This window comes from Homo sapiens, chromosome 5 (assembly GCF_000001405.40).
Source record: "Homo sapiens chromosome 5, GRCh38.p14 Primary Assembly".
In the NCBI taxonomy this organism is placed as follows: domain Eukaryota; kingdom Metazoa; phylum Chordata; class Mammalia; order Primates; family Hominidae; genus Homo; species Homo sapiens.
Genome location: NC_000005.10, coordinates 76,080,747 through 76,097,193, shown reverse-complemented (window position 1 = coordinate 76,097,193; position 16,447 = coordinate 76,080,747). Strand labels below are relative to the sequence as shown.

At 42.4% G+C, this 16,447-nt stretch overlaps 1 protein-coding gene, 1 long non-coding RNA gene and 1 pseudogene across 6 annotated transcripts in view, besides 1 other annotated feature; 2 read left to right on the top strand and 1 right to left on the bottom strand.

Annotated features, from left to right (window-relative positions):
• Positions 1 to 16,447, bottom strand: part of SV2C (synaptic vesicle glycoprotein 2C) — a 506,476-nt gene that overhangs the window by 256,746 nt on the left and 233,283 nt on the right. For 3 of the 5 annotated variants that reach the window (NM_001297716.2, NM_014979.4, XM_047416961.1), the window contains exon 1: positions 13,682 to 13,811. The exons of 1 other annotated variant lie outside the window; for it this stretch is intronic. The gene's annotated coding sequence lies outside the window, so the exon portion shown is untranslated. Of the gene's footprint in view, positions 1 to 12,880; positions 12,979 to 13,681; positions 13,812 to 16,447 lie in introns of those variants that run through there. One more of the 5 variants, XM_011543281.4, reaches the window with a different exon arrangement.
• RNA5SP186 (RNA, 5S ribosomal pseudogene 186) lies at positions 5,393 to 5,486 on the top strand (annotated as a pseudogene).
• SV2C-AS1 (SV2C antisense RNA 1) lies at positions 13,777 to 15,788 on the top strand. Its single transcript, NR_183290.1, has 2 exons — positions 13,777 to 14,275; positions 14,798 to 15,788. It is a non-coding gene; the product is annotated as an SV2C antisense RNA 1 (long non-coding RNA).
• Positions 14,447 to 15,000: an enhancer, noted in NCBI's record as "H3K4me1 hESC enhancer chr5:75378019-75378572 (GRCh37/hg19 assembly coordinates)". NCBI's record gives its function as "activates a minimal SCP1, AML or CMV promoter by ChIP-STARR-seq in primed H9 embryonic stem cells {active_cell/tissue: H9 hESC(primed)}" and the evidence as "EXISTENCE:reporter gene assay evidence [ECO:0000049][PMID:30033119]".

Genomic DNA, 16,447 nt, shown 5'->3' with positions numbered 1-16,447 from the left:
ATAGATATCTGCTGGGACACTGGAAAACTGTGCGACATGCAAGGCAAGGCTTTGCTTATGTGGAACTGTATTGTGCACTGTAGGTCTTTGGTCAATGGAATGTGGGCTGAGTGGCAGTGTACCAGCTCTGAGTCTAGGGTTAAGAGGTAGGTATTAGCTTCAGAGAAACAGAACTAGAAGGATGCATATGGATATAAATATAGAGAGAAATAATAAAGAGACTTGTTATAAGGAATCGGCTCATGCAATTATGGAGGCTAAGAAGTGCAGACCCAGGAGGGTCAATGGTATAATTTAAATCAAAGCCTGAATCCAAAGGTAGAAGATCAATGTCCCAGCTCAAAGACAGTCAGGCAGAGAGAAAGAATTCTTTTTTAATCAGCCTTTTATTCTATTCAAGCCTTCAACAGATTGGGTGAGGCCTAGGAATCTGCTTTGCTCAGTCTGCCAATTCAAAAGGTAATTGCCTCTAGAAATACCCTCACAGACAAACCCAGAAATAATGTTTAACCAAATATCTGGGCACCCCATGGCCCAATTTAGTAGATGCATAAAACTAATCATCACAAGGCATCACATGTTTCTGCTCACCTTTCACATACTTCTGCCACCTCCACGCAGAAAACATGAACTGGGTAATTTATTAACCCAGGAGGATAAAAGACCTGAATTCAAAATGCAACTTGAAAAAACCCCAGCCATGCTCAGTCTAGACCACCTAGCCCTCAGCCAATTTACAGATTTGTGGATGAAAATAAATGATTGTTGCTTTATGTCACTAACTTTTAAAGTGGTTGATGTAAGCAGCATGATGTGGCAATCAATGTCTCATATATCAAATGAGACAGTTTTCCTTTTTTCTCAGCATAAAGAATACAAGTATTGTTAAAAGAAGAATAGGGAAAGCCAATAAGAAATTTATGATGTTGGACATGGAATTGATAGATATTAGGAAAAAGAAGCAATGGATAAAATATAGGGAAAAGATAGAAGTTAACCAGTGCAATATAAACATAAATGCTCAATCCAAGCCATATGAGGTGCTGGGTATTAGAAAAACCCTTCAACAAATCATACCAATGTGTATTTCATGAACTCACTCCCCTACAATCACGTGGAAAGATAGAATATGTAAAGCTTCTGTATCCTGACAGATTCATGTAAAAGCAGGCAGAGATGTAATAAGGATTAAGACCGATAGTTTTCACAAAATAAAGCCTTTGTTATCAAAATTCAAATCAGAATTCATTTATCCTTTTAGATTTTAAACATATACAGCATTAAGTAATGAGTAGACCCAAAGAAAAACCCATGAGTAATTCATTTTTTTATCAACAGTTTTGCTTTCAAAGGGATTGGTATTTTCCACAAACCTGGCTTCTATCACTTAGTTATTTTTCAAATTAACTAAATATACCATTCTATCTAGTTACTAACATTCTGATATTTTTAGAGCTTTTATTCAATGACAAAAAAATAAATTATGAGTTTAAAAAACTTGTATATAACCACAGGCAACTAATCTTCCACGTTCTAATGAAATAGAAATGATTCTTAAATAATTCATATATATTTTTAAAGGTCTTTGGATAATGCCACATGACTTTGGAAGACTCTATATAAAAACTTGACTGACCTGAGAAGTCAAAGCAATGAAATAAATACAATTAGATACAAGAATCACAGAGTCTACAAGATAAAAACAAACTAATGATGATAAATAACTATGCAATAAGTTTGACAATCCAGATAAAATTGACAAATTTCTTTTTAAAGGCAGCACACTAAAGCTGACATAAGAAGAAACTGAAACTCTGGATAGCCTTTATTGAAGAAACTGATTTGTTAATTAATAAGAGGCATATCAATGAAATTCTACTACTTCAGTTAATAATAATGTATCAGTAATGGCTCATCAATTGTGACAAATCTACTACATGGATGCAAGAACTGGGACCTCATGAGGGTGGAGTAACTGGGAACTCTGTACTTTATTTTCAATTTTTCTATAAACCACTCAAAAATATAAAGTCTGTTAATTTAAAAGCCTCTGAAACTATATATTTCATTTTAAACAAAAATTAAAATGGAGTATAGACCCAATTATAAAATGTAAAACTATAAAATCTCTAGAAAAAAAACATTGAAAGAAATCTATATAACCTTGGGCTTTTTGGTGAGATTTTTAGATACCACACAAACAGCATGATCCATGAAAGGAAAAAAAAGAGAAAAATTGGACTTTATTAAAATTTAAAACTCTTTTTCATCAAAAGACACTGTCAATAGTATAAAAAGACAAGCCACACTAGGAGGAAATATTTGCAAACACATATCTGATTAAATACATATCTGGTATCCAAAATACACAAAGAACTCTTAAAATTCAACAATAAGAAAGCAAGCAACCCAATTGAAAAATGGCAAAATATATAAACAGACACTGCATCAGAGAAGATATACAGAAGGTGTGGTATGCAGAAAAATGGTTCCCCAAAGATATATTCACTTCTTGATCCCCAGAACCTGTGAATACTACATTACATAGCAAAACATGCACAAGGATGTTCATAGATACTTTATTGATAATAGCTCCAATGTGGAAACAACTCAAACATCTACCAACAGATAAACAGAGAAACAAATTGTGGTATATTCATATAATGTAATACTATGCATTCAGCAATGACAAAGAATTGACTATTGATACACAAAAAAACATGAATCTTTTCAAAAATACGGTGTTAAAAAAAAGAAAACAGACACAAGAGTACATACTGTATGATTCCTTTTATTTGAATTTCAAGTATAAGCAAAACCAATCTTTGGTGATAAAAATTAGGACAGTGTCTCTGGGAAAGGAGGCAATGAATGAAAAGGGATACAGGGAACTTTCTAAGGTAATGGAGATATGCTTTTGGCTACACAGATGTATACACCTGTCAAACTGATCCAGCTATATATTTATAATCTATGTTTTCTGTGGAAAAAAATTATACCATCATGAATTTAATTGATAAAACAAAATCATTTCTCAGGAGACTCACAGTTTCTTATAGTGCTGAAACTCCAAAGACATTTTATTTATTTATTTATTTACTTGTTTGTTTCTTTATTTACAGAGTCTCACCATTTTGCCCAGGCTGGTCTTGAACTCCTAAGCTCAAGCAATCCTGTTTAAACCTCCCAAGTAGCAGGGACTACAGGTGTGTGCTACTGCATCCAGCTCCAAAAACATTTCTTGAATAGACAGTAATGAATAGGGCAACGGGTAATATAATGGGCAACATCCTTAAAATAAATATGGGAAGTTCCTTAAAACTGTTCCTTGGAATAGTGATGTCAAAGGGAAAGACATTAGAAGCAAGTCTACAAGGGGGAAAATAATTTGATAAGAGCCCAGTGTTCTCCAATGAGTTTCTTGGCCTTGTGATAAGAATTCAGAATATTTAGTACAGAGAGAGGGATGAATGCAATGTGCTTTATCCAGATCACTGCGGCTCAGAAGCCAGCTGATAGAGGAGAAATTTGAACAGTCTGGAAGTCAGTTTGTTGCATTCCGATTCACTGGAATGAGTTCATATTTGGAGGATAAGAAGAATAAGGCCCAGGTCTAAAGGACCGTGCAAGAACAGTTTTGTGAAATTCTGGACAAGGCATGGAGGTCAAATGATAGAATTGCTCATGAGGGGCTTAGAATTTGGTCACAAGCGAAGCTGCTTTGCAGGGCCAATGGCTAAGTGTGCAATTAATTAGGGGCTCTTTTCTCTGCCTCTACCTTGTGGACTGGAAGTTCTGGGCACCCAAACAACATTCTGGACACAGTCACACCACTCGCATGTCCACTGGCAGAAGCAAGACTCTGCCAAGCAGCTTCTCAGACCTTGCGCAGGGAACAATGGAATTCAGAGCAGGAGAGGGAGAACTTGATAAGCACCTCCAAAGGACTGAAGTCAGGATAGTGGGAGATAGTTATGACTGGAAGGAGCATGCAAGGGACCTCTGGGGCATTAGAAATATTCTTTCTGATTTTCGATGGGTGCTCTATAAAGAGACATGTTCAGTTTGTGAAAAGGCAGCTATACCCTTATTAAATATGCACTTTTCTTTCTATATAATATACCTTAATAAAAAAGGTTTAAAAATAATTTAAAATGCTTCCAGCCCCTATGTGTCCAGTGCCAGGAGTTACAAATATCTCAGTGGCTTGGCCTCTTCCTCAAGGTATAAAAGTCTAGTAGGAAAATACACATAGAGCAGCCACCATGACATAATATGAGACGCACTCCACAGCTGGAGCTGCAAGGGGCCTAGGAGAGACTGAGAAAGAGCTGTGGAGTGTCATGAAAAGGGACCTTCGAGCTGAGGATTGAAGGATGATTAGGAGACTTTTCCACAGATAAATATGTGTATGGCGGGAGTTGGGGAAGAAGAGATGGTAGGAGGGAGAACATTCCCAGCCCACAGCAAGAGAAGATAAAAAAATGCCAATCTCCCATCCCGTCAAATACACAGTCGAGTAGAGTGAAAAATGTGCCTAAAAGCAAAATATTCCAAGTATTAATACAGGCTTTTGACAGCTATTGGACAAATAAGATTTATTGAGGATGGGGGTGGAGGAATGGGGGTCGATCCTCAGCTCTAGTGACCTAAGTCAGCAATGAGCAGCCCCTGCTCAAAGGTCACTGTATTGAGTGTTTATAGCCATGTTCCTTTTTCATTCAAAATGAAAATAGTTGTATTGAGTACCAAAGCAATTTACGTTCTCACAACTTAGATGACCTCACCTACATTATTGCCTGGAAAAAGATCCATGAGAAAAACTGGCACCACTTTTTTAGCCACTAGAACACTAATACTTACACATGCTTGAAAAACAGCATTGCAGGTGTATATTGAAATTAATATTTACCACCTCTACTGGTGCCTTAATTACAAAAGTCATGTGTGCTTATTGTTGAAAACTCAAACAATTCAGAAATATATAAAGTAAAATATGTAAGGTCCTTTCCATACGCTAAAAGATAAGAGAGTTTGATCTTTATTCTTCCAAACTCTGTAATGTACCTTAAATTCTTTTTAGTAGAATCATACTATATCGGTTCTACTAAATATGTATATTTATATTCTGGTCATAAATTGCTATATTTTTAACTAACAACATCTTCAAAATATTTCCATTTTACCATGTAGGTTCACCTCATTCATTTCAGTGGCTGTGTAGTATTTCATTATTTGGAGTAACCATAATTAATGTGATCAGGTTCTGATAGACATATAGGTTGTTTCAATTTTTCACCACTGCAAATAATGATGCAATAAACATATAAAATTCTGATGAGTATTCTGATACCTCTGAGCATGATTAGAAGGGGAGGGACTAAGAAGTCTCTTGGGATTTTATCTCAACTTGGAAGCTGAGCAGGGTCAGGCCTGATTAGTACTTGAGTGGAAGACCACCTGGGAACATGAGCTGTAGGCTTAAAAAAAAAAAAAAGTCTCATAGAAAGCTTATTCTGAGTGAAAGGCAATTTGAGGCCCATTATTTATGGTCCTAGGACAAAGGACCTGCATTAGAGAGGGGAACTGATTGTAAATACAGTACACTGTATCACTTGGCATGTTCGTACACCAGGCCTCATACATTCACAGATTCTCTAAACTCTCCAGGGACATCAACAGCACAGGGCAGCATCAGCAGATTCCACAACACTGGAACCAAGGCATTCTGGGCAGTGAGAGGCAGGCTGGGCAACACTGTGGTGATGTTGCTGCAGGGACCAGAGCAGGAGACAAGAACTACAGAAGCAATCTTCAAGGACTCAAAGAATAGTGAGGAATCTTTGAAGCAGGCGGGGAATGCCACAATTGGGGTCAGACGAGAACCACAGAAGTGATTATGGTTGCTATTGTGAGTCTGTAATTTCTGCCTTCACATGGATGTGGCCAACAGGAAACACAGGTTGCAGATTTAATTGGATGCTTCAAAAAGTAATAGACTTTACACTTAAATTGTTTTGTGTTCAATGCAGCTAGTGATGTGTTTAATATGCATTGACTGGAGTATTCTGTCTTGTGTTGAAAAGAATGGTGTGAGGGCAAACACGACAATGGCTCCATGGATTTATTAGAATATCACTTCTTAGATATGAAGCACAAAAATGAAATCAAGAAAATTGGCGTGCTTAGAACTACTAAAAAGTGATATTAAAATACGTGCATTTTAAAAGAGGCTAGTCGGAGCTTGAAATGACAAAGTGGGTCACCTTCTCTACCCACTGCCAAAATACATGGCTGTTCCTTGCTGCAGAAACTTCCGTGCTGCGTGACTCAGCTGGGTAATTTAAAGCAAAGAATAAAACATCTCAGATATTTCTCCTAGATAAATTTTAGCCCCCCAAAGTTCACTACTTATCTTGCATACATTTGCAGATGTTAAAACCTAAATATTGGAAGAGATAGCATCTTAGAAATCAAGCTGCTGGTGTTCCTGGTGTTTCTACAAAGGCAGAACTAGAACTTTAAGTTCCATTTGTTCAGCAATTACAGGAGCAGTGATGGCAGTGAGGATTCACTGCAGTCACCGAAGAATAGGAGACCTAAGGATATAGTCTTTAAAAGCTCCAGATGCTCATCTAAAGGTCTGAACACACTAGATGATTGTAATTAGGTGAAGACAGGCATGATGTAGCAGAAAGAACACTGAACTAGGTGTTTGATTACTTGGTTTAGTTAATTATAAGCCATGCATCTCAGGAAAATCACAAGTTCTCTGAGTAAGGAGAGGGCCAGGGTTACCACGAAGACTAAATACAATGCTCTGCATGCATTTGCTGGATACAAATATGCATAGCTTAACAAGACCACCTACACAATTGGCAGGGCCCAATGCAAAAGGGAAACATGGGACCCCACACTCACAGAATTTCAAGAGGTGATAGCAGAACACTAAACCAAATGTAGCATTCTTCTAAACGTGAAGCTTAGTGTGACTGTTAAGGCTAAAGACCCATGAAGCTGGCCCTAGGTGTTATCAGCCCACAGATAGGTGCTCCTTGAGAACAGGACTTTTGTAACTGCATAGCTGAATCCTCTGGACTACCTTGCATTAGGTAAATACTTGGGAAACATCGATTGCTTCTGAAATTGCAGTATAATGAAAACAAAGTGGAATTTTATACATCAAAAAGGTATCCTCTCATTTTACAAGATACATATGGAGACAAAAGAAAAGATACCTTTTAAAGTACAGTGCCTATGAAGTAACATGCTAGGAGCTTTGCGTATATTCTCCTTATGCTGTCTCTACATGCAATCCCAAAGAGTAGATTACAAAATCATCTTTTCACAGCTGAAAAAATTTAGGCTTAGAGAGGTTAAGAAACTTGTTCATGGTTAAAAAAGCTCAACATATCTGATCATTAGAGAAATGCAAATCGGAACCACAATGAGATACCTTCTCACACCAGTCAGAATGGTGATTATTAAAAAATCAAGAAATAATAGATGCTGGCAAGATTGCAGAGAAATAGGAATGCTTTTCCACTGTTGGTGGGAATGTAAATTAGTTCAATCATTGTGGAAGACAGTGTGGCGATTCTTCAAAGATCTAGAACCAGAAATACCATTGGACCTAGCAATCCCATTACTGGGTATATAACCAAAGGAATATAAATCATTCTATTACAAAAACACATGCACATGTATGTTCATTGCAGTGCTATTCACAATAGCAAAGACATGGAATCAACCTAAATGCCCATCAATGATAAGGTGGATATAGAAAATGTGGTACATATACACCATGGAATACTATGCAGCCATAAAAAGGAATGAGATCATGTCCTTTGCAGGGACATGGATGGAGCTAAAAGCCATTATCCTCAGCAAACTAATGCAGGAACAGAACGCCAAATACTGCATGTTCTCACTTATAAGTCGGAGCTGAACAATGAGAACATATGGACACAGGGAGGGGAACAATACACACTGGGGCCTGTTGGGGAGGGACTGAGGGAAGGGAGAGCATTAGGAAAAATAGCTAATGCATTCTGGGCTTAATACCTAGATGATGGGTTGATAGGTGCAGCAAACCACCATGGCACATGTTTACCTATGTTACAAACCTGCACATGTATCCCAGAACATGAAATTAAAATTAAAATTAAAAAAGAAACTTGTTCATGTTTATACTGTTTTTCTCCAACAGGTCATTAATTCATTTGACAATATTTATTGAGCTCCTACTATGTTCCAGATACTATTTCAAACACGAAGGACAAATCAGCAAGATTAATACAAGACCAATTTATCCCTAATCCTGTCCTCAGTCTTCTAGGATTTGTAGATTAGTGAAGGGGGACTGGCATTAATGAAAAATTCCCATTTTTTTTTAAAAAAAAGGAAATTGTAAAATTAGTGAGCTTCATAAACAGAATTGCTAGATTTGGCAAATAAAAATATAGGACACTCAAATACTTTTAAGTTTTCAATAAACAACAAATAATGTAAGTATGTCTGCTATGGTCTGAAAGCTGGTGTCCCTCTCAAATTCATATGTTGGAACTTACTCCCCAGTGTGATAGTATTAAGAGGTGAGGCCTTTTGGAAAATAAGTAAGTCATGAGGGTTCCACCCTCATGAATGGGATTAGTGCCCTTATCAAAGACGCTGAAGGGAGGTGCCTTGCTCCTTCCGTGTGAGGACATCTATGAGGAATAGGCCTTGACCAGACACCAAATCTTCTGGGAACTTGATCTTGGAATTTCCAGCCTCCAGAATTGTGAGCAATAAATTTCCATTGTTTCTAAATTACCCAGTCTAAAATATTTTTGTTATAGCAGCTGGAAGGGACTAGGACAATGTCCCATGCAATATTTGAGACATATTTATACTTAAAAATTTTTATTGTTTATCTAAATTCAAATTTAACTGAGCATCTTATATTTTCTCTAATAACTTTATGAGGAAAAGCACACTGTATTAAAAGTAACCTCATAACAGAGGCTTAGAGGCTGGACTGAAATCTGAAGAGCATAAGGAGTTAATATATTAGAGGTAAGCGGGGGCAGGTTGCAGAAGGAGACTGATGATTGAAGGTTGCTGGGGATGGAAGTGGTTTGGGGCTCATGTAAAATGAGGCTGCAGAAGTGAGCAGAGGCCAGACCACCTAGGGCTCTGAAGGCCATGCAAAGGTTTTCAGCCTTTATTGCACTCAACTAACCTGTCATTACAATGTTCCTTCTGCCAATGCCCTTCCCTTCTTTGCTACCAAATATATAACTGTCTCCATGGAGTCATTCCCAACCACCCATGTCACTCACTCCTATGGCTTTTACCAAAGAAGTTAGTCCTCTTTACATTTGTCTCACAAAACAGAATGGTATTTCACTGAGGGCTTCCAGCAGATACTTGGTAAATATTAAGGAGGAAAACATAGCTTAGAAAGTCCATGCATGCTGGGTTCTTGCTATCCTATCTAGTACTAGTTCAAATGCATCTGCATATGTGGTTCCCCTAATGATAACATCCGACTCACTTGGCAGAGCTTGATAAACAGCACATTCTGGACCCAAACATGGAACCATTAATTTAGAATGTCTAGAATGGGGCTCAGAAATTCCCACTTAAACAAGCTCCCCAGAAAAATATGATATACACAACTATTTGAGAATCGCTGGTCTATTTGGCTACTCTAGGATTCTAGGGTTTCCAAACAGTGGAAAATGATAAGAGAAAGCTCTCTTGGTTTCACTTGTCATAAATCTCACTGTACTCTTGACTTGTAAGAGGGTCCAAGGTTGTCAGAAGACTGAAGCCCATCCCTATAGTGTCCAGTCTTAATCATTTGTATTATATACTATCTATGGGAAAAGATGTAGCAAGCATAACGCACATTAGGTGATCAACAGAAAATATTTTAAATGTCACACTAAATTGATCTGAGTATCTTCTTTATGTTAAGCAGGAATTATTTTTCAAATTTGATCCCTAAAATTGTTTTAATTCATACATCTAATGGCATAATACAAAATCTAATGGACCACTTATCTACAAAAACAGAGCCTATAGCTTCATGTAAAATTTTAACATGAGTTAATTTATTTTAAAAACACATTTTCTATACTACTTATAAGCAAACTTCAAACTTAAAATATAACTCATCATATATTTCTCTATTTCCTGGAAAGAAAGAATACTAGAACTAGAAAGGACCAAATCATCCAATCCATCCTGTCCATTTATTTCATTTTGTTCAATACCTCTCAATAGGTAAGCCATCCTCAAGTGCAAATACTACTGCTGTCCCTAATTAGGAGGGGTTGTTTGTAATAAAATAAAATTGTGTTTTAGTATCCCATTAAGACATATTTCTAGCAAGAATTAAAATCGTAACTTCATTCCCATTGTTATTTTTAGCTGTCTCAAATAAAGAAAAAACCTCCAAATTCAAACCACTGCAACATTTTACACTGGTTGCTCAACTGTGCAGAGATTGAAAAAGCAAAGCAGAGATTGAAAACAATGTGGCAATGTTGCATCAAAACTATATATGCCAGGGGCTGCCTTTCCTGGGTTTACAAACAGACTTCATTGAAATGATGAGTTTGTGTTTAAATGGAGAATACTATGTATGCTGTGAACCACAGTCAAACAGGAACCTCACCAACATGGAACCAAGAAATACGCTGGTGTATTGAAGGTTTTCCCTTGATATAGCTGCACAGAAAAAGAGGCATTTTGCTTTCACTACTCACAGAAATCTACCGTCATCTGGAGTAATATGAATAACAACAGTGGGCTGGTTAAGGAGCCATTTTGACAAATCACATGCTTTTATTCATACAATATGTCATCAAGTTTGCTTAAGAATAAGAGATAACACTCCTAATTATAGGAAATGGGTTTTCTGGTACTTGTCGTCACGTGATATATTGCACATTATGATGCCTTTGCCGTAATCTCCTGGAGACTGGGAACTGGATCCTATTATTTGAAGCATTTCCACACTTAAGGAATATGATAGGGTTAATAATGAATAGGAGTTTTACTACAAGCTGTTAGGCCAGTCTGCTGCTCAGATCAGAGAAGCTACTTTCACTGTCATTGGGTCATGAAAAATAAAGCTGATTTCTCCACTACATGAACAAAACACTCAGATGTGATCCAGAGCTTCTTTTTTTCCTTCTCCAGACAGTCAGTAGCTAATGGCATTGGATTACATATTAGACTGTTAGGAAAAGTCTGCTGTCTGCATTTGCTCACATTGAGGGCCAAATTTCATTAAAAAAACAATGCTGGGAAAAGTCTCTAGAATTTTTTAAAAGAAAATTCTGTGTGTGTGTGTGTGTGTGTGTGTGTGTGTGTAGGGGCTTTGTTTGCTAATATTTTCCATTCATGGAAAATTTGTATTTCCAAAGCCAAAGCTCTCTGAGATTATCTCTTTTGTCTTCAAAACAACCCTGTAAGGTACATAAGAGCTAGTATAAGCTATTTTTCACAATTCTCAGAGGTGGAAGATGAACCCAAGAGGGTGAGTAACCTGCCCAAGGTGACATAACACAATATTTGGGGAAATGGTGACTAGCATCTGTGTCTCTGGGTTCCTTGATAATTGCTTTTCTTCCTCCCTCCCTTCCTTTCTTTCTTTTTTCCCAACCCCGTCCCCTTTCATTCATTTTGCCTACATACTGCAGATTTGGGCTCCTTCAGTAAAGCCAGTAGAAAAACTTTGTCACTGGGTTTCCAGAAAGTGGTCTTTAAAAAAAAGAATAAAATGGATCGTGGATTTGATTTATTATTTTCCACCAGAGAATGCGTTATCAGTAGTGTTTTTTAACGCGTATTTTTATGCCATGAAAGAGGAATGCGGCATATTGTTTTGTAAGACATTCTTAAACCTCACTTAGAGGCCAGGCCTCCTGCCAAAAATCCTGCAGAATGGTGGCGCAACGGGTTGGCACTACAGAACCTCACGAACCTCAACACCTAGGCGTTCACATGAAAACTTCCCACGAGCACGAGGCCTTTCGGAACTTGCCATGGAAAATGAGTGAACGCCTGAGAGATTAATGCCACATTCTTCAGAATTAAGGATAAGAATTAAACGGAAGCTACCGCGCTAGCAGTCAGCTAAGTATGAAGGGATTAGGTTCAGCGGGAGAGGAGACCATCACGGCATCCCGGTCTCATCTCCTTAAGGCTCTCATGAGCCTTAAAAGACGCCTCATCTCCTCGGTCCCCCGGGGAGCGCCCGGTAGCTGCGGCTCCTTCCCGGCACTGCGGCGCACTGCGGAGCCGCCTGCCCGCCAGCCCAGGCCGTGCGGGGCTTTCCTCGCCGCCCCGCGCCGCCGCAGTCCTCCCGCCCCCCTCTGCCCCGCCGGGTCGCCGCTCTCCGCGCCAGGCGCGCCGCGGGGCATCCATCAACCCAGAGCTTTTGACGCACACACGCGCGCTCCCAGACGGAGACTCCGTCGCCTGCCCCCGCCCGCCACCCCCGCCCGCCCCTCGCGGGTCTGCATTTGCATCACTCGCACACGTAGAAGGTGACGCGAGCGCCCCCAGCTCAGGCCGTCCAGGCGGCACCTCTAGCCCCCGTGGCTCAGCCCCTCCCCCCGCCCCCGCGCGCCGCCTAAGGTCCCCGCACGCCCACAGATCTGCTCCCGATTGTTCATCTGCCGTGGGGTGCTGGCTGCCCCAAGCCAAGTTCATCCCCGTATTCCGCAGTCCCCGTGGGCCCAGCCCGGGGCGCTCCCCGCGACGCTCTGGAGAAAAGTCTTCCCAGTTCTAGAACCCAGGCGGAAGGGGAAAAGCCCACTAAGAGAAAGGGTCAGAGGGTCGGCTGATGGCTTTTGCTGCCCTCATCGCCATCTAAGATTACCTCGGTAGCTTATTTACTGCGATTGGTCCCTCTCCCCTCTGAGCTTCACAGCCTCGGGTCTGCTTCGCCTGGCCTGGCGCACAGCAGGCGCCCAAAAGGTTTTTGCTGAATGAAGGCGTTGTAACGTAGGAAGTGCAGGCGCTGACAAAGAGCCTCAGCCCCGCGGGCTCCCCTGCTCTCCAGCCCTCTCTTGCTCTCTCTTAGACGCCAGACAGGCGCTTCGGGAATGTATGTGGGAGAGTTTGAAAATTCATGGTGTTTCTTTCAGGCTCTCTCAGCACTTACTGCGGCTACCTCTGCTCTCCCGCCACCTGCACGTCTGCAGAGGGATCCCCGCCGAAAAGTTGAGCCTAAGGCAGCTATGAAGGTATAGGTCCAGGTACCCAGCCCGGGGCTCTAGGCTGCTAGATTTGAATCTGCCTATCCCTGCCGGTCAAACCACACAAGCAAAAAAGAGCGTGGCGGTCGCTGCAGATGCGGCCCCTGCATCCCCGCTGCTGCCCACCCACCTCCTCTGGGAATCCCAGATAAAGTGCGACCCAGTCCCCAGACCTACCCTAGCGAACCCTGGGGTCACTGCATCTATTTTACCCCTACTTTCCTGGTCCCTCTCCAACAAAGGCGCCTACAAAGCAGCGGGCACCTGCAGCCGCTTCCCCGGGGGCAGGCGGGGCAAAGTTGCGCTTCCGAAAGGCTGCAAAAACTTCCCCAGGCTGCAGCGCCCGGCCACCAGTCGGGAAGAGAAATCCAGCAGCGGGGGAAAGTCTCCCCGCGGATGCCCGCTTCACCTCCCCCACTCACCGCTCCAGCCGTCGGACACCCTTGCCCTGAGTGGTGTCAGCACTGCAGCCGCCTCAGTGCGGGCGCCGCTCCGGCTCGCTTCCCCGGGCTGCCTCCGTCTGCCACTCTCGCCTGCAGCGCGCGGAGTGGTGACTCCTCTGAGCGTGTCAGCGGCGAGAGGAGGGGCGGGAAAGTGGCTCCCGGCTTGCACGCTGCGGTCCTCCTCCTCTCCTCCGCCTGCCTCCTCCCCCTGGTGCTGCAGTGCCGGGCGGCGGCGTGGCGAGAGTACCAGCGGTGCGCAGGGAGTCACGGCGCGCGGGGGAGGCGGGACCCGCGCGCCACTCGCGGTGCTCCGGCAAGTCGCGGTGCTGAGGCGCTGCTGCGGTGTGGGACTGGGGCAGGGGGCGGGGAAGGAGAGCCACCTCCAAGTGGTAGGTACTTCTGGAGAAGTCAGGGCTCTGAGTTTGTAGCAGGTGAAGGAGAGGGGCGGCAGTCCTTAATTAGTCACCAACTGTGACTGTGCGTTGCGCACTTGGCGGCGCCCCGGGTCAGGTCCAGCGTGAGACGCGAGGGAGTTCTGACTGCTGGACTCTGTTAGCACCGGACAAAAAGAGGGTTTGTATTCTATTTCCGGGCCTGGGACTGACTTGTTCACTTCGACTTGGCTTCCAGGGAGCAACCAGGCAGAGCTAGGTTGCCTACTTCCCCCAGCCCCCACCCCGACGCTGGAAGACAAGTCCAGAGGAAACTTGGGCACAGCAAGAGCAAACAGAAGAAAACTTCGCTGGGTTAAGTCTACTGTCTCCCCAATGCTACATAGGGCCAGACAGCTGGGCTCACAGGCAGATATTGAAAGTGGCCCCTTAGAGGGGAAACAACCAAATATGAGGGGGGGGGGGTGGAGAGAGAGATAGAGAGAGAGAGAGGAGGAGGAGGAAGAAAGAAAGAAAGAAAGAAAAAGAGAAAGAAAGAAAGGAGGAGGAGGGAGAAAGAGAGAGGAGAGAAGAGAGAGAGAGAGGGAGAGAGAGAGAGAATTTTGCTTGTGTTGTTAGAAACAAACATTTCTCCCCTTGGCGTGCAGGAGAGAGAATTTTGCTTGTGTTGTCAGAAACAAACATTTCTCCCCTTGGCGTGCAGGAGACCCCAACTCGAGCTTCACTGTTCCAAAGCGGTGGGCCAGGCGGCTGGAGAGAAACTCGCTCCCGTGAGGCCACACCCAGGCCTGGCGCACCCACCCCGCGGCAGCAGTGGAGGGCGTCGCCCTCCCGGGCCTTCCGACGCAGACCCTGCCATCCGGATGCTGCGGGAAGTAGGGCATCCTCACGTCCCTGACTCCTCCGGCTCCGCGCGCTCACGGAACCCAAGTGGAGTGGGAAGCGGTCACACAGGCGTGTGCCGTCCCCGAAATCGTTGCTCCTGTGGTGGTGACCCAAAGCGAGACAAAGCGCCGCGCCAATACGGGCTGCAGTGATTGGAACTCAAACACACACATCTCTCCGCGAATGTGTTCCATCCGTGTAAATATGCCTGGGTGATTGAATGGATGGCTGAATGAACGCTGTGTGGATAGAAATATAAATGTTACATGTATAATACAGGCGCCGGGGAAGGAGAGCTGTCAGGCACCCCCAGGCTGGAGCCTCCTGCCCAGAGGAGCCGGTGGAGACAGGCGGTTCGCCCAGGGCGGTGTTGTTAGCTTGGGCTTTCCAGTTCGATTTGTGCCACTATGCAGGATACTGTGAAGAGAAGAAAATGGAGACAACTCTTGGCCTCTCATTTTCCCTCCTCTCTGGTTCAGACACTCTGGCACTAAAAGTTATGATTCTCATGTGCTGTTGAACCTACACTTCCTTGCTGGTCTGTCTTGTTCCGGTGAGAGGCTTTGCAGTCTGTGACCATGGTGCTATGAGATGGTCAGGCAATATGAAAATTAGTGAACGTGCTCATTTTCATTTCGTGGATTCTTCTTAGTAAAATAATTATTTAAATAGTTAAATAATTTAAATAGTTAAATAATTTAAATAATTATTTAGGCTAAAATTAATGTGCTGCTACTATGACAAGGAAGTGCCTATGAATCCAGCATTGGAAATACAATTGTGAAATTAAAAAATAAATCCTATCTGGATTCCCCGCATGTTATTTATAAAAATTTGAGCTTCCAACTGCAAAATGTGCTGGCAATTCACTGAGTTCTCAAACGGTTACCTTTTTGAGAACCTCCCCTAAACTGTTGCAGAATAATGGATTGTTTCTCCAAGTGATGGAAGTTCAGAAAACCATGAAACAAACTTTAAACGTGATCAACGTTCTTTATGCTATGCTGTATCTTCCTTAAATTATTCTCCTATCTTGTCCGTGGAAGATATTTTTTTAAAGTGGGTTGATTTTTCTACTTCTGGATTTTCGTGTCTTGATGCATTTGAAGGTAACAGCTCCTTTAGGAAAATCCCTGATTGTGATTTTGCCTGAAACATCCCATTTAAGACCAGGTTGCACTGGAAAAGGCTATTTTAACGTTGTGTCTTTGGAGGACATGAAACATTGTGTCATGATGATGTTGTGCCCTGGTTCCTGGACTTGCCCTCTAAAGCAGTTCTGGTTCTAGGGTCCTGCCTGGCACACACCTTGGCCCCAGGCCCCTTGGATCCAGCACTCAGACTAGTTTTATTCATGCCTTCATTATAATGAAATGTTTTCTCTCTTCTGAAAACACTTGTCTTGTAGAAGCGGATGGAGTGAAAAGGGGTATACCCTCCATCCCCACAGAATCCCAGTACTCTAAAG